The 22,251-nt window shown below is 40.8% G+C and overlaps 1 long non-coding RNA gene and 1 pseudogene across 2 annotated transcripts in view; both read left to right on the plus strand.

Annotated features, from left to right (window-relative positions):
• LOC124901018 (uncharacterized) overlaps window positions 1–22,251 on the plus strand; it is a 48,297-nt gene that overhangs the window by 22,479 nt on the left and 3,567 nt on the right. For both annotated transcript variants that reach the window (XR_007058843.1, XR_007058844.1), the window contains 2 exons: window positions 17,010–17,312; window positions 19,201–19,373. This is a non-coding gene — a long non-coding RNA (uncharacterized LOC124901018). The remainder of the gene's footprint in view (window positions 1–17,009; window positions 17,313–19,200; window positions 19,374–22,251) is intronic.
• Window positions 16,762–17,215, plus strand: SEM1P1 (SEM1 pseudogene 1; annotated as a pseudogene).

The following is a 22,251-nucleotide window of genomic DNA, read 5'->3' on the forward strand; positions in this document are numbered from 1 at the left end:
GATCTTAATAGAATGAAAATGGGCAGGCCATTTTGTGGGCTCTCATAGAGTGGTGTTTTAGGATTTGGTGACTAGAAGATTTTAGAATAGCTGTGGGATGGGAGAGAATTGGAAACGAAAGGGAAGCTGATCTGGAGACATGGTTCCATAAACTGAGAATTAATTCTCCTTTGGAAGATTGAGATTAATAACAGATTTAAACAAATTCATTTTGGCATCAGGATTATGCTTCTTTAAATACAGCTCAGTTCAAAGGTAAACCGCATGCAGCTCTAGGATTTATTCAGTTTTCATGTTGAAGTCTAGAATCCTCTCTATAGCACTTTTCTCCCTTTAAATTATGTAATCTCTTAACGACTCCACACAATCCAAGTTTATTTCCCTTCTTAGAGAATGGGTTATTCTTAGGGTTTATTTTTAATTTAGAGATGGGGGTTAAGAATCACCATAAGATAAATGAAGCATCTTTTCTCATTGGTGGTTCACATAGTATGAATATGAGAATGCAAATTAAGCAAGAATCATTTATTCTTATAAATAAAGGTGGAAGGTAGGAGGCTAAACTTAGGTGTGCACTGGGGTTCCAGGCCCTTTATATCAATTATTTTTATTTTATTCTCATAGCAGTCATGGAAGACAGGTATTGTTTCTCTTATTTTACTTAAGGTTACATAACTATGAAGTAGTGGAATTTGAATCCACACTGTAAAATTTGCTGTTCTACTATACCCTGCATAATGGGATCTTTATTATCTGGCCAGGTATTTATTTATTTATTTATTTATTTATTTATTTGAGACGAGTCTCACTCTGTTGCCCAGGCTGGAGTGCAGTGGTGCCATCTCGGCTCACTGCAACCTCTGCCTCCCAGGTTCAAGCGATTCTCCTGCCTCAGGCTCCCGAGTAGCTGGGATTACAGGTGCCCACCATGATGACCAGCTAATTTTTGTATTTTTAGTAGAGATGGGGTTTCACCATGTTGGCCAGGCTGGTCTTGATCTCCTGACCTGAAATGATCCACCCACCTCGGCTTCCCAAAGTGCTGGGATTACAGGCGTGAGCCACCACACCCGGCCCTCTGGCCAGGTTTTTAAAATTCCATATAAGAAGTCATTGGTCTTGCAGGGCATGGTGGCTCACGCCTATAATCCCAGCACTTTAGGAGGCCAAGGTGGGCCGATCACCTGAGTCAGGAGTTCAAGACCAGCCTGGCCAACATGGCGAAACCCCATCTCTACTAAAAATACAAAAATTAGCTGGACGTGGTAGCGCATGCCTGTAATCCCAGCTACTAGGGAGGCTGGAGCAGGAGAATTGCTTGAACCCAGGGGGTGGAGGTTGCGGTGAGCCGAGATTGCACCACTGCACTCCAGCCTGGGTGACAGAGCAAGACTCCATCTGAAAAAAAAAAAAAAAGTCATTGTAGATTTACTGAGAGTTACATCCTTAGGTGTCCCCTGCTTTCTCTAATAAAACTATAAGTGAATGAAAGTAATATTTGTGAAAGCCTTATGAGGAATATAGCTACTTTTCCCTCCAACAAAACATCAAGTAAACAACTATTTTTTTTTTTTCAACAAACCATTTTCCAACTCTTTCATTCTGACCATTTTGGAGGCAATGCCAGTTACTTGGTAGATCCAGAGATGATGCAAGCCATTCAGATTGTAGAGGAAGAGACTATCTCTATTAGCAGATGACATGATCTTGAATATAAAAAATTCTAAGGAATACACATACACAGACACACACACGGATGAGAACTAATACGTGTTCAGCAAAGTTGCAGGATATAAGATTGATATAAAAAATCAGTCATTTCTACGAACTAGCAATGAACAATTCTAAAATTAAATTAAGAAAACAATCCATTCAAAATAGTATCAAAGCAATGGAACAAAAGTACTGAAAGTGTTGATTCATACGTTAATGTCAGCCAGAAGAGAGTCTTCAGTGGTACTCCACAGATCTCAGTTCCTGACTCTTGGCTAAATATTTTTGGTCAAAAATTTAAATGAAGATATAGCTAACTAGAAGATATTAATATAAGATATCAGATAAGCAAATGAAACAAGCTGGAAGAAATAAATGGAGTGAATATTTGGAGTGAAATTTAGCTTATACATGAGTGCGTAAGTAAGAAAAGAGAAAGGCTGGGTGTGGTGGTTCACGTGTGTAATTCCAGCACTTTGGGAAGCCAAGGTGGGCAGATCACTTGAGCTCAGGAGTTTGAGACCAGCCTGGGCAACATGGCAAAACACTGTCTCTACAGAAGTTACAAAAAATTAGCCATGTGTAGTGCCACATCCCTGTAGTTCCAGCTACTCGGGAGGCTGAGGTGGGAGGATTATCTGAGCCTGGGAGGTTGAGGCTTCAGTGAGCTGTGATTGTGCCCCTGCACTCCAGCCTGGGCAATGGCTGAATGAGACCCTGTCTCAAAAAAATAAAATAAAAAGGAAAAGAGGAAAAGAAAAGAGAAAAGAATTTTACATTCATTTGAAATTAAGGTGAGAGTTTCAATTCACAATGTAGATTTATGTAAATTAAACTGTATGCCAAAAGTCAACAGTCCTCTTCTTTGGGACATTATGTAAGAATCTTGAATGGACAGAAATAGTTTTTACTCTACAAAGAGTTATTACGCAAAAACTATGAGCTAGGTGCTGAACTTGACAGTGGGATGGAAAACATCTTAGTCCTGGTCTTTAACCTCAAGTTTGTCATAGTCTAGTGACAGTCTAATGAGGCATAGTATGGGTCAGGGTCCCAGAAGGAAATAGATGGCACACTCAAAAAGGTAATTTGAAGAGTACTTAATTGTGGAAACATTTATAAATGAATGGCTAAGATTAAGAAAACCACAGATGTGATGAAACACCCAGAGACCAGCAATATCAAGAAGTTGGTACTGGGCCAGCCTGGTGAGACCTACAGCCATGGGCCAGGGCTGCTGGAGAGGAGCTGTGGCCTTATCCAGGTTCCAGAAATCCAGAACCTACCAAACTGTGGCCTGGCTGAGAGGAAGGTGGGAAAATAAATACCTTAACATCTTTTTCTCCCCACCTCCCCATCTCCCAACTTCCATTGGCCAAATCCACCTGGAAGCCAGAGGGCAAGGGACTGTGGTTTGGGCTGTAAGGTCCGTAGACATCAGCCCCACAGGGCACACAGCGGGATGGAGAAGGGGAGAGAGTGAACTTAGAGGGTCAAGGAGAGAATACACTACATAGACAGGTAAAACAAATAATTACAATTATCTGTAATTGTAAAAAGACCAACAGTCCTATATTTAAGATGGGCCTTGGAAGTTGAATGAGGGCTTGACACATTGAGATATTGATCCAGAAGGAATAGCATGTACAGACAGGGGCATAAAAGAGAGTGCCTTGCTTGGGAAAAGGTAAGAAGTTCCATGTGCACAGAGAGTTGAGTATGAAGGGTGGAGACTGCGGAAGAAGTTGTAAAACAAGGATGGAAAAAGATGTTTGGTGGGCAGGTCACCTTGTGAAGGACTGTCTAAGTTAGGCTATAGGTTTAGCTGCTGTGCCAGAGATCCAAAATAACAGTGGCTTAAACACAATCAAAGTCCTCTGTCTCTCATATTTCAGGCTGAGCTCGTGGGCATCTGTGCTCTGAGAAGTCAGCAGCAGCCCAAGCTCCTTTTATCTTGCTGCTTTGCTCTCATCCCCATGGTTCAGGACAATGTCACTATGCCCACATTCTGGTCAGCAAAATGGCATACTCTTTCCTTTTATAGAAACAACCTAGAAATTGTATATGCCATTTCTGCTCCCATCTTACTGGTCAGAACTTCGTCACAAAGCCACATCTTACTGCAAGGGAAGCAAGAAAATGTAGCCTTTGATCTGAGCAAGTTACGTGCCCCGATAAAACTTGGGCTTTCTATTATTATGAGGAAGAAGACAAGGTAGTGAAGAAAACTGGCATTCTTTGCCATAAATATCTTATTGTTTTTTCAAGGTGAGATCCAGCAAGTCATAAAGAGGATGGGTTCAGCGGGAGCTCGGGAATGGTAGATGAGAAGGGAGTAGTTTCTGTGTTCCAAGTGTTGGATTAGGAGTCTGCTTGAGTAAGTCGAGTGGTAGGAGATGAGATACTTAGAGAGAAGGACCTTCAAGGGCCACAGACTCCATGTCTCATATGTGGAAACCACTGGAACATCCAGAAGGCTGCTGTCACTTGATCCTGCACTGTGGCTGCTGTTGCTTTTCCCATCCCATGTATGTAATAACCAGAATAAAATGGGGACTATTCACTATGGTCATATTCTGATCCCTGCATGGGCTTAGAAAGGAACTTTTTTACTGCATAGGATTGCAAAACTTGGTGCTGGATGAGGGATTTACACCTTCCTTTCAAACACGGGCCACTGCTGGTAGGCATAGAACACTGGATGTGTTGATTGCTAACATGATTTATGGCAGTCTCTGTATATTCAGCTACATTCAATGACCTTTCTTCCACAGTGTCCTCTACCTTGATAAAATCACTTCATTCTATGTCAAGTCCTTTTAATCCTTTTTCAGAATCAAGTACGAAACAATTTCCAGTGCATTCAACTCTAACTTTCTTTGCTCATTGTTTATTCCCTGAAGACCGAATAATACATTTAGAAGTTAAAAAATTGCAGGCTGCTGCTTTGTACACAGTATCTTTAACTTTTTTGTCCAGGTTTTCAGTCTGGCCTCAAATGAACCTTTCTTTTTTTCATTTTTTATACGTAACATTTAGCTCTCCAGAGTTAATCACTTGTGTCTTCAATTAATCATTTACGTCCCCCAAATCATGTGGAATCGTCTAATTGGGCACATGAGGGTACGACTGTACATGCAAGAAAGAATGGTAATGAAGCAGTTATGCATAAAAGTAGTATTTCCAAAAAGGGAGGTAACATAAGAAAGTACCTAGAACTTTGGCCTCTGGTGGATGCATCCATGCATCCATCCATCCATCCATTATTCATTCAAAATTGTGTTCAAAAACCTTGCAGTCAATCTCTAGAGAACCTACCAGGGTTCAAAGATTATTATCAGATGTTTCCAGTTCTTGAAGAGTTTCTATGTCATAACTGGAGCAGACTCAGTTTTGAGGCATGGCTGAGAATAAATGAAGGAAGGGGGATTACGCACCAACTGTGTCTTAACTACTATGCAAAATATCACAGATTTGTAGTAGAAGAAAGATGCATAGATAACTGTATCCCTGTGTCATCCATGCTATTAGATTGGTGTAAAAGGCATTGTGGTTTAATACTACATAATAAATATAATAAAACTAGGAGCCCAGAGAGGGGACAAGTTGACTCTGCCTGGGATGGAGGAGGAAAGCTTTTCAGAGGAGCCCAAGTTTCACCTGGGTGCTGATGGCTAATCATGAGTTGCTCAGATAGAATGGTAGAGAAGACACTGTAGGTGAAAAGAGCAGTGTGCACAGAAGCATAGAGATGGAAGATGCAGGGCAGTTTTGGTCAATGTCAAGGGTTCCGTGTGTCTGGCTTGTAGGTCGCGGGAGATGAATGCTAAGAGGAAAGAGTAGAGAGGTGGGTTGGGATTTTGTATGCCAACCTGAGGCATTTTAATTGTATTCTGTAGGTAAGGGGGAGCTATTGAATGTTCATAAGCATGAGAGTAACATGATCAGATTTATGTTTTGGAAAGATGGCTGGAGAAAATAAAGGGGGAAAGAAACTGAATTCATTATTTTTGTCTAGCAAATACTTATTGAGTACCTACTATGAGCCAGGAATCTTCTAGGGGCTAGGCATACAGCATTGAATAAAACTGGCAAAAACTTTTGCCTTCACGCAGCTTCAAGTGGTGGAGGGAGACAGTTTATAAACAAAAATATATAATCATTCAGGTGGTCATAAGTGCTATGGAGAAAATGAAGCAGGGAGGGAAGATAGAAATAGGCTTTGCCCCTATGTAACCTCCCACTGAGAAGGAAGGGAACATTTGGGCAAAGACCTGAAGGAGATGAAAGGGCAAGCCACGTACACATCTGTGGGAAGAACATTTTAGGCAGAAGGAATTGCAAACATAAAGTCCTCAGTGTATTATGAGAGCTCTGCAAACCCCAAGGTGACAAAAGAGACGGATTAAAGACTTGAATTCCTATGTTTATACAAAGGGGCATTGAGCCAAAGAAATACTGATCACCTTTTATATATCATTCAGAACTTCCAGTCATTTGTTTAAAAGTATTTGAGTATGACAGGCTAGAACAAGATTTTCTTTCATAGGTCATTGTTGGGCCAGAATTTTGGAGAGAGGTAACTGTGTTTTCTCCTATCACCATAGACCAGCAGTTTTTCATTTAAGCAGTAAAGTCCAGTTATTATTCTGAAGCCAACAAAATGTATTTCTTTGTCTCATTGTAGTTTTAAGCCATTTGTTTCATTTTTAGATGCTCAAAATCTTACTTGATGGCCACATTTAAGGGAAATTGCCTCCAAACATAAGAAATACACTGGCTTGGATGGCACACGTGGAAATTAGCAAGATGAGTGGAATTGGGAATGTGTCTGCTGATCATGATCTAGCTGAGTGTACTGCACACACAAGAGATAAAAATGAAGCCAGAATCTGGAATGAGATCATTAGTGTATACCATCCTGGCACTGTAGTCAGACCACACACATATTTAATGCACTGAACCCACCTTGAAATGCCCTCAGCCTTAAGGGAACAAAGTACTAGAAAAAATAAGGGGGAGGGAAGGATGCTGAGTGATCCATAATGCTGTCAGTGTCACAATCCATCCTGAACAGCAGAATAAAGTTAATAGGGAAAGTTCTTTAGTGCTTGTTCAGCTGCCTGCCACCCAACTCTGTGGCAGAAAAGCAAGGAGGAAATATATACATCATTATAGAATGTATCAATAATAAATTATAGAAAAGCCTTTCATATAAGGAGTAGTTCCCTGTATTTATTTGAAGTCTCAAGCATTAGGATTGTGTATTTGACCACTAACTGCCAAAAATGTAGACACAATCTTAAATAATTTTAAAAGACTATTGATATTTTAGTAATAAATTAGATTAACAATGTGAGTCAAAACTGTTGAAGACAGAAATTGTAAAATGTCAAGAGAAAGAAATAATATTTTTCCTTGTGTCCAATAAATAAAAATTGCCTTGGAATAAACACTAACCCTATTTATAGCATACATAAGAAGCATCTCTGGAAGTCAAATAGTCTATCTGAATTATGTTTCGGCTCAGAGAATTTCATGGTTAGAGTAGAACATTTTCATTCCAAATCTATGTATCTTTTAGTTCCTAAAAATATTTCCTAAACTCTTCCAGCATTACACTACTTGGTTCTAGAGTCAAAAACTCGTATAATTCAACTAACAGCTATCAAACATTTATTTAAAGGTCAAACACCTTCTATGTGCAAGGTGCTGACTAGGCAAGGTACTGGAGGAAATTCAAATTGAGTAAAACTTAGTACCTGCCCCCAAGGAGGGTAAGGAGGTCGGCAAAAAGTCAGCACAAAGGGTCAGAATATGCTCAGCGGGGTTCAAAGGAGGGAGATGACCATGGGTTAAAGAAGTCAAAGAAGGCTTCAAGGAAAAGTGATGTCAGATTTTAATAGGCAAAAATGGGGTTGTTTTGAGTGGGATTGGGCAGGCAATTCGGGTAAAAACAAGGGCGTATCTGAGAAGAGCGGTTCCCATTTTGCTGGAGTATGATGTATCCGTATGAGAGTCGTAAGACAGAGCTAGGAAGGTGGACTGCAGGCATGGAGTCTCTGGGCTCAGATGTCAGCCTGAGGAGTCAGGACTAGATTCAGCCAACAGTGGGACTCCACCAAAGTCGATGTGACATGATGTGACATGACGCTGCTCTATTTATGCTCTGATGCCCATGCTTTTGTACTCAGTTGCATTTGCCAGCTGAAAGGGTGAGGCTGGTTGTCCAGCCCTTGCGGGGAGAGACTGATTCTGTACCACAGATTTACTTGGAGGACAGAGCACAGTAGGGGTCATTTGGGTCTACCTCCCCCTTCCCTCTTGGGCCCCCCTTGCACACACAGGGGCAGTCTAGCTGCTGAGTGTGGTCTTTGTGTCCTGGATATTAGATGTCATCTGAGCTCCTTAATATTTTTCCGAAGTGAAGAAAAAAAAGGTCACCCACAAATATTTATTTAGTGCCTACGAGATGAACAGCGGCAGTTTGCCCTGCTCTAGATCGGTGGTAAAGTAGCAGTTCCAGCCAGAAGCCAAATAAAAGCTGGAGCTCATGTCAGAAGAGGAAAGGGCTACAGATGTACACCGCTAGACAGGCTGTGGACTCTCTGCCTCTGCAGTACTGAACTATTATATATTGTCTTCTCAGCTAATTTTTTTAAGGTCTAATTTAGGAAAAGCAGGGAACAGTATTAGGTATTTAGAGAGATTCAAAAGAAATGGTAGCCATTCCTGAAATACAGAAATTCAATAGAAACTTTAACCTATAAATAATATGCACCATATAACATATGATATAAAAGTTGCATATAAAGTCCCAGAATGTTTTCTGCCATTCCTAAGGGATGTTCAGCACATATAAACCTTGTTTAGGTGTCATCTTACTGGTAGGGGGCTGTTGTGCTCCATTTGTCTGTTCGGAGAACCAGAAGCTTGGCTGCAGTGGTCAGTTGGGTCTACAGATTTTTTGTCTGTTTGTTTGTTTTTTACAGAATCTAAAATGGTTGTTTAACTTGAGACTTTTTAAAGATACAGAAACCTTAATTAGGAATGATTGTAGAATGAGATCTTTACAGTAGAAGCTCATATTTGATAAGACCAAAACCAGTAATGAGCCAATTAATAAAAATATTTGGTTAAAGTCCCAAATTCTAAAAACTATAATAACATGGCACATGCAAATTCATTTGACAATATTTAAATGTAGAGTCAAGACCTCCCCTCTATTCTAGTATAAATCTGTATTTTGAAGTCTTTTTTGCATAAATCACATCCATAACACATCTCTCTCCAGTTTCAATTTATCTAAAGTGAATCAGACATTTCTCAGACATTCTTAATCTAGACCATGTTGGGGTTTTTATGATTCCTGTTCCAGTCTTTTAAACTTTTCTTACTAACACCTATTGTAATAGTCATTTTTTTTTAAATCGAGACTTTCCAGAGCATTCAACTCTGTTTCAGAACAACAACTATACTCTTTTCTGCTCATCTAGTTTGACAATTTTCATAATATTTAATTAAAATATGCTTAATTTAATTAATTAAAATACTACAATCACAAGTCTAATTAACCCAAACAGGCCTGGGAACAAACACAACAGACTCTTGGTTAGTAAATAACAGCAGAAGTGGGAGCAGAAGTCCTTGGATACATTGGAGAGTAGTTACTGCCCTCAAGTGCCCAGCATGCTGTGCATATCAGAAAATTCGGTTCACAGAGGGAACGGAGAGCGTCTGTGAATCTGGCAAGTTGGTTAAGTTGAAGTCAGCTGAGAACTTTGGTATAAAGTTATCTAAGCAGTTAATGTGTATTTAACTACCTAATATATGCTGTGTGCTTCTGGATTAACATCATTAAAGGACTGGTTAAATTCACACGGACATACACATACCTAAAAGCAGAAATATTTTTATCAGGTGTACATAAAGGAAATGTTAATTCTGGCCCTGTTGGAAGCTTCCTTCTCTCTGTGAATATTCTTGAGTGTTCTATCCTGAATGTCTATTTGTGGTGTAATATCTATATATCAGTACTTTCGTATTAATCACAGAAGTTTAAAATATCTCAATAAAATATAGATAGTATTTACTTTACAGGCTTTTATAAGAATTAGCGAAACAATGCATGCAGAGTGTTTAGCTTTAGCCCTCTCTGTCCATTTTGCTTTTGAGTACAATTATCCAATGTTCCGGCTTTTAGTACAGAGTCTACAACTAATAAATGTAGAAGGAATAATAGAAACAGGAAATTATTATTTTACAACCACCATAATACTTATTTCATCAAAAATTATTAATGGATGCTAAAATCATTGGATGAAAGAACATTGGGAAATAAAATGTTCAAACAATTTTACCTCATAGATTCTTATTTATTACTAAGGGAAAATGTACATTTAACAATGGAGAAATCTGGTGGCTACTGCCTTCACCAAGAGACATACTTAGCACCACCAATGAGGTACAAACTCACATTGAGAGGTCCCTAATTTGATGCACACAATGTCATCTGCCCCTCCTGAAAAAACCCAAGTTTAACCTAAATCTAAGTACGAGAAAATAGTCAAACAAATCAAATTGAGAAACACTTTGCAAAACAAAACATCGGTAACAAAATACGTGTATCAATGTTGCAAACTAGAGAGAAAGACTGGGAACTGATGTAGGTTAAAAGAGACTGAAGAGGCCAAACACGGTGGCTCACGCCTGTAATCCCAGCATTTTGGGAGGCCGAGGTAGGCAGATCACCTGAGGTCAGGAGTCGAGACCAGCCTGGCCAACATGGAGAAACCCCCTCTCTACCAAAAATACAAAAATTAGCCAGGCACAGTGGCGGGCGCCTGTAATTACAGCTACTCGGGAGGCTGAACAGGAGAATTGCTTGAACCCAGGAGGTGGAGGTTGAAGAGACAATTGAAGAAATTTGAATATGGCCTGTAATATGTAATGTTATCATATCAATGTTAAATTTCCAGTCTTACGGTTATGTAAGAGAATGTCTTTATTATTAGGAGAAAAGTGTCAGCAAAATAATGTGTATGCATATAAAAGCATATATATATATATATATATATATACACACATAAACAAATACACCTATACATATGTACAGAGAGAGAAAGCAAATGTAACAAAATGTTTAGTAATTGGGAAATCTAGATAAAGGTTATATGGAGGTTCATCTCACTATTCTTGGAACTTTTCTGTAGCTTTGTAATCTTTCAAAATAAAAGCTGGGGGAAATAAAGGCATATCTGTAGCTTTAGTACTGCTTTTCTTTTTTTTTTTTTTTTTTTTTTTTTTTTTTTTTTTTTTTTTTTTTTGAGACGGAGTCTCGCTCTGTCGCCCAGGTCGGACTGCGGACTGCAGTGGCGCAATCTCGGCTCACTGCAAGCTCCGCTTCCCGGGTTCACGCCATTCTCCTGCCTCAGCCTCCCGAGTAGCTGGGACTACAGGCGCCCGCCACCGCGCCCGGCTAATTTTTTGTATTTTTAGTAGAGACGGGGTTTCACCTTGTTAGCCAGGATGGTCTCGATCTCCTGACCTCATGATCCACCCGCCTCGGCCTCCCAAAGTGCTGGGATTACAGGCGTGAGCCACCGCGCCCGGCCTGCTTTTCTTAATTTACAGTTACACAGAGCTGTGCAATGTTAGACCAGCCAGTATGGAATCTGCAAAATTTTCCTCTGCTATTATCCAGAAATAGGTTTGCTTTGTGATGTGCAGTCTCTCCCATAGCCACCACCCACCCATACTAGAACTTGCAAAACCAAAAATTGTCTCTTGCAGAATAAAGCAGAAACAGCCTTGACATCTTTAAGTAGATTATATGCAGATTTTAAGAAAACTTGCTAATGGCAGAAGATATAGTAAAATGCTGGACTTCTCTTAGGGCCTCAGAGCTGCTTGCGGGGATCCCCGCTAACTGCACGGAATAGTAAGCTAGTCACCGGGGTTCCCTATGCAATATATCTATACATCACTGAGAAGATCAGGAACAATAAACTGACCAAAAAGCCAACATAAGAAAAGAAAGGTTGATGGCAATCCTGTGAGACATGTCACTACCGAACCAATGACGACTCCTTCAGGAGAAGGTACCTGACCACACAGGCCAGAAAAAGCTTGCTCAGCTGGAGGCATCTCAGTGGAGATTCCAGCGCCCAAGAGCGAAGGGTCAGCCCTGCCACCCGCCAACAGAGTAACGACGTGTGCACAGTGGCGCATCGCCACCATGGAAATGTGGCGTTTCCTCACCTCACAAGCAGTCTTGTCGGCAGGATCCAAATATAAGAAAGGGAGTCCTAATATCTTTCAGGTCAGGAAAACTACCAAGGTAAACTCCAGATCACAAGATGAGAAAATTCAGACAGGCAAGAGGTACGAGGGAGTGGTGGAAGGCTAACTTTCTGCCTGGAGGGTTGACTGTGACAAGCCCAGTTCTTAAGAAGAATACTTGAGAGTTACTGTCTTAGAGCTTGACAAGTTTGTGTTTAGTAATTCCCTTCTTTTTCAACCTAAGGTCATACTTTTCTTTTGGTGGTAGAGAAAAAGAGAAGCTGAAGACAACAAATGATAGTGAAGAGACTGCTCCCCACCTGCACAGGCTATGTCCTGTAGTCTCAGGATCAGAGCAATGAGAACGGTATAGGAAGGTTATAGAGCCTCTTGCTTTTGGTGTGAGAGAATGGTCATGTTTGTTTGAGCCAGACTTTAGTAGTCTAGAATGGGAAGACATTTTGAACGACAATAACAAAAAAGTCAGTCTTAAGGAGAAATGTAAAAACCAAAAAGCCAACATGAACAAGCCATGGGAAGTACTAAACATAGGCACAATTGTTGCTGCTCCTACTTTATTATATGTGGATTTTCTGCTTCTAGAATCATGTCCTTCAGGAATCACAAACATTCTCAAGAATAGAAAACATCAAAAAATAAAGGAATGCTTTAAATATGGTAACGCACAGGGGATAATAATTTCTAAACTTTCTGAGTACTTACTCTGTCCCAGGCACTGTTCTAAGTACATTATCTCATTTACTCTTGAATTCTGTGTGTTAGGTGCTATAGGTCCCATATTACTGATGGAGAAACAGAGGCATAGAGCAGTTAAATAGTCTACCCATGGCAGAGCCAGGGTTTGAAGACAGGTGGCCCACATGCTCTTAACTCACCATTTTTGCTTAGCCTTCTAAGCAATATCTATGAAATCATGCTTTTGCTAGTCTATAGGGTTTTAAAAATTTAAATTAAAACAAACGCATAACTATTAAAATCTCTTGGGTTGCAGCAGTATGAATGGCCCACTTTGGGAAAGAATATGAGGCTCCTATTTCTGGCCTCAGAATCACTTGGGTGTAGTAGTGAGAAAGGCAGATTCCTCAGTCACACCATAGATCTACTGAATCAGAACTGTAGGCAATGGGCTGCCTTTTAAACAGGCTCTCCAGGACATTCTTGTGCAGCCTAAAGTTTAAGAACAATCCCATTATGGGTCCCCCTAAAGGACGTATAATGGTCAAGGGTTCGCTATTGAATCTGAGATAATTAAAGAATTTAAGCAAGATAATGGGGATAAAATCCAGGACCGTACCAGACCACCCTAGGAGAAAGCTGTGGAGACCATTAGAGATAACCTGGATGATGGTGGAGGAGAAAAGCTAATGGCTGCAAAATAAATGAAATCCCTAGTTTCTTTTGTACCAAGAATGATTCCCCAGGAGAGTTGCTTTGCGGTCTTGTTTGAGTGACAGTTTTGACTGCTGATAAATCTTATCAGAGAATGTATTAAGGTAGCAGTGTGTGATGGTCAAGGTTAAGGTGCCTAGAAAGGGAGAGATGGAAGGCTTCCAGAAAATCAGAAGTCCACAAAGAAGAGGCATGACTGCAGCCCAGGGCCCAGTAGAACCTGATGGAGGGAGCCATTTAAGAATTGGAGCTGTGGGCAAAGCAGAAGTTGGCTGACCCATGGAAATCAGAGGTACAACTGGAGCTGCATGAAGAAAGCTTTCAATTTTGTGTATCTGCTAGGAGAGAATTTCTGTGTAGGGAGAGACCCAGCCTTTGCTGAGAAGATGTTTTGGTAAGCCAGCATGTAAGGAAGCCTTAGGGCTTGGTTTCAAGGTAGAGAAGAAAGCTCTTCTGCATACTAAGCAGGTGGAGTTGGAAAAAGCCTCGGGGAGGGGTAGCTGTCAGAGGAGGGGTTTCTGCAGTCTCCTGAGGATAGAGAAGAGGTGTCTATATGGATGTCTCCAGTGAGGTGCTGACATTGTGTGATTTGACCTTTTTGCACAAATTACCAGTAAAACACACATATCAACAATATATGGATGACTAGATTCCTGCAAGCTGGGGTGTGGGGTGATATAGTTTGGCTCTGTGTCCCCACCTAAATCTCATCTCAAATTGTAATCCCCATATGTCGAGGAAGGACCTGATGGGAGGTGACTGGATCATGGGGGCAGTTTCCCCTTGCTGTTCTCATGATAGTGAGGGAGTTCTCACGAGTTCTGATGGTTTAAAAGTGGCAGTTTCCCCTGCACTCTCTCTCCTACTGCCATGTAAGACATGCCTTGCTTCCCCTTCACCTTCTGCCATGATTGTAAGTTTCCTGAGGCCTCTCCAGCCATGCAGAACTAGGAGTCAATTGAACCTCTTTTGTTTACAAATTGTCTGGTCCCAGGTAGTATCTTTATAACAGTATGAAAACGGACTGATACAGAGAATTGGTACTGGCAGAGTGGGGCACTGCTATAAAGATAACCTGAAAATGTGGAAGCAACTTTGGAACGGGGTAACGAGCAGAGGTTGGAACAGTTTGGTGGGCTCAGAGGAAGACAGGAAGATGTTGGAAAGTTTGGAACTTCCTAGAGACTAGTTGAATAGTTTTGACCAAAATGCTGGTAGTGATATGGAAAATGAATTCCAGGCTGAGGTGGTCTCAGATGGAGATGAAGAGGTTATTGGGAACTTATTGGGAACTGGAGCAAAGGTCACTCTTGCTATGCTTTAATAAAGAGATTGGTGGCATTTTGCCACTGCCCTAGAGATCTGTGGAATTTTGAACTTGAGAGAGATGATTTAGGGTAGCATTTGAAAGCTACAAAGCATTCAAGACGTGACCTGGCAGATTCTGGAAGTGTTCACAAAGAGATGGTCTGATATTGGAACTTATGTTTAAAAAGGAAGCAGAGTGTCAAGGTTTGAAAATTTTGCAGCCTGACCATGTGGTAGAAAAGAAAAACCCATTTTTCTGGGGACGAATTCAAGCCAGCTGCAGAAATTTGCATAAGTAACAAGGAGCCGAATGTTAATAGCCAAGACAATGGGAAAAATGTCTCCAGGGCATTTCAGAGATCTTTGCAGCAGCCCCTCTCATCACAGGCCTGGAGGTCTAGGAGGAAAAAAATGGTTTCCTGGGCTGGTCCAGGGCCCCCTGCTATGTGCAGTCTTAGGACTTGGTGCCTTGCATCCCAGCCACTCCAGCTCCAGCCATGGCTAAAAGGGGCCAAGGTACAGTTTGGACTGTGGCTTCAGAGGGCGCAAGCCCCAAGCATTCGTGGCTTCCACAAGGCTGGGCCTGCAGGTGTGCAGAAGACAAGAGTTGAGCTTTGGGAGCCTCTGCCTAGATTTCAGAGGATGTATGGAAACACCTGGATGTCCAGGAAGAGGTCTGCTGCAGGGGTGGAGCCCTCATGGAGAACTTCTGCTAGAGCAGTGCATAAGGGAAATGTGGGGTTGGAGCCCCACTGGAGCACTGCCTAGTGGAGCTGTGAGAACAGGGCCAGCATCCCCCAGACCCTAGAATGGTAGATCCGCTAACAGCTTGCACTGTGCACCTGGAAATATCACAGGCACTCAGCGCCAGCTGGTGAAAGCAGCCATGGGGGCTATACCCTGCAAAGCCACAGAGGCGGAGCTGCCCAAGGCCTTGGAAGCCCAGCTCTTGCATCAGTATGCCCTAGATGTGAGACATGGAGTGAAAAGAGATTATTTTGGAGTTTTAAGATTTAATGACTGACCCATTGGGTTTCAGACTTGCATGGGGCCTGTGGCCCTTTTGTTTTGGCCAGTTTCTCCCATTTGGAACAGGAACATTTCCCGAATGCCTGTACTCCTATTGTATCTAGGAAGTAACTAACTTGCTTTTGATTTTACAGGTTCATAGGCAGAAAGGACTTGCCTTGTCTCAGATGAGACTTTGGACTTGGACTTTTGGGTTAATGCTGGAATGAGTTAAGACTTTGAGGGACTGTTGGGAAGGAATGACTGGTTTTGAAATGTGAAAAGGACATGAGATTTGGGAGAGGCCAGGGGCAGAATTGTATGGTTTGGCTCTGTGTCCCCACCCAAATCTCGAGTCAAATTGTAATCCCCACATGTGGAGGGAGGGACATGTTGAGAGGTGATTAGGTCATGGGGGTGGTTTCCCCATGCTATTCTCTGATAATGAGGGAGTTCTCATGAGATCTGATGGCTTAAAAGTGGGAGTTCCCCTGCAGTCTCTCTCTCTCTCTCCTGCCACCATGTAAGACATGCCTTGCTTCCCCTTCACCCTCCATCATGACTGTAACTTTCCTGAGGCCTCTCCAGCCATGTAGAACTGTGAGCCAATTAAACCTCTTTTGTTAATAAATTACCCAGTCTCAGGTAGTATCTTTAGAGCAGTGTGAAAACAGACTAACACAGGGGACTGAGAGTTGCCTTGGTATAGTCAGTGCTTAATCAATTAACCCATGCAGACAAAGGGACAGCTGCTAGGTGGCTTATACAATCAATGGAGAATTTGCAGGTGTGTAGACCCAGCTAGAGAATGGAGATGGCTTTGTTTGAACACATTGCTGGGGTATGTGTGACAATGCAGGTTTATGAGGGTCCTGAAAGACACCAAATGAGGCCCAAGAAATTGAGTCCAACTGGAGGTGGGCTGGAAGAGAAGTATCTTGTGAGGAAACATTTTTGGAGGAATTTCACTGAGAAACAAAAGTAGAAACTTCACGGGGCTACTGCCAGGAACAACCAGGCTACAGAGTTTGTAGTTCATAAGTACCAAGATGGTTTTCTGCTGATCTGGGAGGTGTTGGGCGCAGACAGTCGAGATGTCAGAGAAAAAGCAGCCGGTAGACTTAGGTTTCTTAGAGGAAGATGACGAGTTTGAAAAGTTCCCTGCCGAAGACTGGGCTGACTTAGATGCAGATGAACATGCACATGTCTGGGAGGATAATTGGGATGATGACAATGTAGAGGATGACTTCTCTAATCAGTTACGTGATGTTCTTTCTGTTTTATCATAGAGCTGAACTAGAGAAACATGGTTATAAGATGGAGACTTCATAGCGTCCAGAAGAAGTGTTGAAGTAACCTAAACTTGACCTGCTTAATACATTCTAGGACAGAGAACCCAGGATGGGACACTAAAAAAATAAGTTTATTTCATTATCTGCTTGGATTTATTTGTGTTTTTGTAACACAAAAAATAAATGTTTTGATATAAAAAAAATAAATAAGTACCAAGATGATGCAAAGGAAGAAATTTTCCCCTCAAGATGGACAAATATCTAAGCAATTGGGAGGTGCATTCTCTGGTAACATGAGAGGTTTGTACAAGCATGAAGCCAATCAATGTAAAGTGATACCTGTCATGAGACAATGTAGAAACCTTGCTTTCATTTGAAGAGGGTTTGATAAAGAAGGCAAAGGGAAAACATGGAAAGAGGATCTGGCACCCTAAAATGAGCACAACCCTAACATGTGACCTGGAAGCGGTTCTCTTTCTGTTACGGTGCTGTAGCACAAGGCCCTCTGGACCCATCGACTCAGTTACTTCCTGCCCAGCAGCCCCTGGTCTTTCAGTTTAACTATTTCACACAGATTTTCCAAGTGCCTTTATTTTCTCAAAGTCTGTTATTCCTCCTCTAAAATTCAGAAATGTGTAACTTCTATTTATTTTTAGCCCCTTTTCTACTATATATGCATCATTTTGAATTTTTATTCCATTCTTAATACTAGGGGTTCTCAAGAATTTTCCAACCCAACTTGAACTTTGGATTCCCATTTCCCTTAGTTTTTACATGAAATCTTTCAAAAACTGTATACCTCCCACCACCCCCCCAAAATTCAGTGTAGCTAAAAAGGAAGGGAAAGGAGGCTGGTATTCTATGGAACTGACTAAGGCGAACACCAGGTTTTAGGATGGGTGAGGCTGTATACTCTGGTAGATAACACCATGGAATTTGACTTTACTCTTCCAATTTAAATGATACAGGTGTCAATGAAGATATGAGATGATATCAAGTTTGTCAAGATTCAATGAATATGCCTCTGAGGGCTTCCCTAGATTTCCCCATGTAAATGCATTAGGGAGATGATGAAGGTCAGCTCTCTAAGATGTGAAGTTGGCTAGGCTGAGGGAGCATCCAAAGGGGACTTTTGCTGTATTTTGTACCTCCTACTATGTCATCCTGAGACTCCAACAAAATTACTTTATATGGTGGCAAAAATGGCTCTGGGCTAGCATTGTCATCTGGATCTAGCATTCAGGGGTCAGGAACGGTTTCTTATGTTACAGAACTATGTTGCCAAACCAGCCACGGATTATAGAATCATCCCTGGGCACGGTAAAGTGAACAGTCACACCACAACATTGTGATGAGGACCAGTCTGTGGGCCCATGCTATCACACAGCTGGTGGGCCAAGAAGCCTAGGAGGCACTGAGCAGGGCAGGTCTGGCTTGGCCACCACCAGTAGCTCAGCTGTTTGAGGAAGGAGGGCTTGCAACTAAATGTTCAACGGTGAGGAAGAGGAAGGGAGGCAGTGCAGATCTGGTGTTGCAGAGCAGTTCCAACTGGCCCTGACACATTGCTGAGATATGCTGCATATTGCAGGGAAACATTGTGATTGATACTGCACTCTGAGCACCACAGCTAGAAGGCCACTCTCTAGACCCTCCGTGTATTTCTGCTACCATAGTTGAGTTCTATACTTATCCAGACTCAAGACTATTTGTTCCCCAGACTGTTGCATATCAGCTAAACTTATCATTATTCATAAGTAAATTAAGTTAAATATTATATAAATATATGAAATATGAATGCAAAAATCAAGGCTGTCCTTTTGAAAACCTGGTCGAATATTTTGACAAGATTCAATAAAAGTAAGTTGCTGGGCAATGATTAAAATAGAAAGGCTATTATAAAATTCTAGAAGGATTCTGCATTCAGTTTGTCCAATAGTATCTTTAAGTTTTTGGTTCCCTTTAAATGAGTTATCATTGGAAACAGCAGAGGTTGTATAATGAGTGCACTTTATGCAAGAAAGACGAAGCAGAACTCCAGTCAACTCACTGACATTCGAGTATAATAAAAAGCCTGGGCCTTATATCAAAAGCTGGACACAGTTACTTTAATTTAAAACAAGCATTCATATGTCTGTCTATGTTTTTTTCTTATGATTCACCTCTTTAACCATTATCTTTCATTAACCAGCCAACTCCCAGTCCTGATTGCATTGGAGAAGAAGCCCTCTGTGGAGCCTCCACTCTCATTATTCTATTGAGATCCATGGAATTAGGAATTCCCATCCTCAGTTTCTTCTTGGAGGTACAGAGCAGTAGCATTCCATGAAGGAGGAACTTCAAAAGAGATTGTGTAATTCAAAGGTTTGTTAATTTCAGCCTAATCATGACCAAAAGAAAAAGGACAAGTATTTATATTTATCAGCTGAAAATGGCACTACTATAGCAATAGCATAAACCCAATTACAAATCCCTTATATAAAAGCTTGGAAATTAAGATTTTTTAATACATTTAGATGTTGTTTCAGAATTTGCATTCTTTACATTTTGTCCATGAACGCTTTGTTAATTATTTTATATGACATAATTTCAAAAAGCCTTAATTCTAATTTGCAAAAATTAGGATTGCCCTACATTGGAAGCAACCCACTCCTGAGGTAGCATAAGTCTCTTGAAGAAAACTCTGTTCTGGGCAATGCCTCTCTTCTTGATGGCATGGTCCTCTCCCCTGAGCTTGGTTTTGGCATAGAAGCTTATGCTCATTGTAAGTGGTGATCTTTCTGAGTTTTTTCCCCAGAATGAGTCACTTCTTTGAGCTTTTCTCTTTCCTCATATGCTATAGGTCTCTAGTAATATCACTGGGCTTCAGTTTGTTCAAGTTCCTCAATATGAATCTTGTGAATGACTTTGCAGGTTACCTTATTTTTAAAGTACAGAACCAAGATATTTATCTACAAAAGCATTTAACACCTCTAGGCAATTAGATTTCTTCAACATGTCTCTCTTCATCACTAGGTTTCTAATGAGAGTGTCAAACAACTCTAGACCCTTTCCAATACTTTCAGATGACCTGTTATAGTCCTTTAGATTAAATATGAGGCACTGATACATGTTATCTTGGCTCTACCAAGTGTCTTTGGCCAGTGTTTCTCAAATTGAATTCTAGGACTTAGGAAGGCCAACAGAGAGTTCTAAGGGCATTACAGAAATGAGAGAAGCAGAGACAAAGACTGCAACAAAAGGAACTGTTCCCCTCTCCCCTGGACCCTTCTGTTTGAATTTCTTGCTTTTATTCAGAAATAGCTCATTTATCTGAAGGTCCCTTATGCGGTGAAGTCAATCAACTGGTATATTTGTAGCACCCAGAAATTGAGCAAAAAAGGCCTCCAAACTCCAAAACTTTTCAAAATGTCATGCATGGTATTTGGACCTTTTACTCTTTTGTATAACAGCTTTTACTGAATTATAATTCACATACCTAAAATTCAATCTTTTTTTTTTTTTTAATTGAGATAGAGTCTTGCTCTGTCACCGAGGCTGTAGTGCAGTGGCGTGATCTTGGCTCACGGCAACCACTGCCTCCTGGGTTCAAGTGATTCTCCTGTCTCAGTCTTCTGAGCAGCTGGGACTACAGGCACATGCCACCACGCCTGGCTAATTTTTTTTTTTTTTTTTTGTATTTTTAGTAAGGATGGGGTTTCACCATGTTGGCCAGACTGGTCTCGAACTCCTGACCTCAGGTGATCCGCCTGCCTCAGCCTCCCAAAGTGCTGGATTACAGAAGTGAGCCACCATACCCAGCCTAAAATTCAATCGTTTAAAGTGTACAATTCAGTGGTTTTATACACACACACACACACACACACGGTAGTGCAAACATCTCGACCATGTAATTCCAGAACATTTTTATCACCCCTCAAAAAACTCAAACTCCTTAGCAGTCACTCCCTAGTCTCCTCTTCCTCCAACCCTAGGCAACCACGCATCTCCTTTCTGTCTCCATGGATTTTCCTATTCTGGAAATTTCATATAAATAGAACTGTGCAATATGTGGCCTTTTGTGATCGGCTTTCTTTCAGTTAGCATAATATTCTCAAGTTTCATCAATGTTGTATGTTTACATCTGTGAAGTACTGTATGATATGTCAGTACTTCATTCCTTTTTTGAAATTGTGGTAAAATAGACATAACAAATTTATCATAAGTATACCATTCAGTGTCATTAAGTACATTTACAACATTGCACATTTACAACATTGCACAATCAGTATCATTATCTAGTTCCAGAACTTTTTCATCATCTCAAACAGACACTCTATACCTATTAAGCTGTCACTCCCTATTTCCCAATCTTCCCAGGCCCCTGGAAACCACTAATATACTTTCTGTCTCTATAGATTTGCCTTTTCTGGACATTTCATGTAACTGAAATGATATAATATGTGGCCTTGTGTCTCTGGCTTATTTCACTCGGTATGTTTTCAAGACTCACTCGTGTAGCACATATCAGTATTTCTTTTTATAGCTGAATAATATTCCATTGTTTGGATATATAACATTTTGTTTGTCCATTCATCTGTTGATGGACATTTGGGTTGTTTTTACCTTTCAGCTATTGTAAACAGAACTGCTATGAACATTGTAAATAAGTTTCTATTTAAACATCTGTTTTCCACTCTGTTAGGTTTATACAGTGATGCCCCATGCCACATAACCACATAATGTTTCAGTTAATGGTGATAGGCCTGCATATACCATGTTGGTCCCCTAGGATTATGTTAAAATAATAGTATACTTTTACTATACCTTTCCTATGTTTAGATAATTTAGATACACAAATACTCAACATTGTGTTACAATTGTACAGTATTCAGTACAGGTTATACCATATAGCCTAGGTGTGTAGTAACCTGTACCATCTAGCTTTGTGTTAGTACACTGTATGATCTTTGCACAATGATGAAATCTTCTAACAAAGCATTTCTCAGAACTTTTCCCCTTGGTTAAATGATGTTCTGGATACTAGACCCTTATCAAGTATATAAAAATAAAACCTGTGTTTGATTAAGCCACTCCAACTGAGTTTGTTATATGCAGCCATGAAATCCTAAATGAAACTCACCAGCTTTTCTGAGGATCTGATGGGAAAACACATGTAAAGCCTGACATATAATTCAATTAGTGTTGTTTTTATTTTTACCACATTTGAATTCACTTAAAGAAATGAGCCCTACAGCACTCA

This window comes from Homo sapiens, chromosome 5, assembly GCF_000001405.40.
Source record: "Homo sapiens chromosome 5, GRCh38.p14 Primary Assembly".
NCBI lineage: Eukaryota > Metazoa > Chordata > Mammalia > Primates > Hominidae > Homo > Homo sapiens.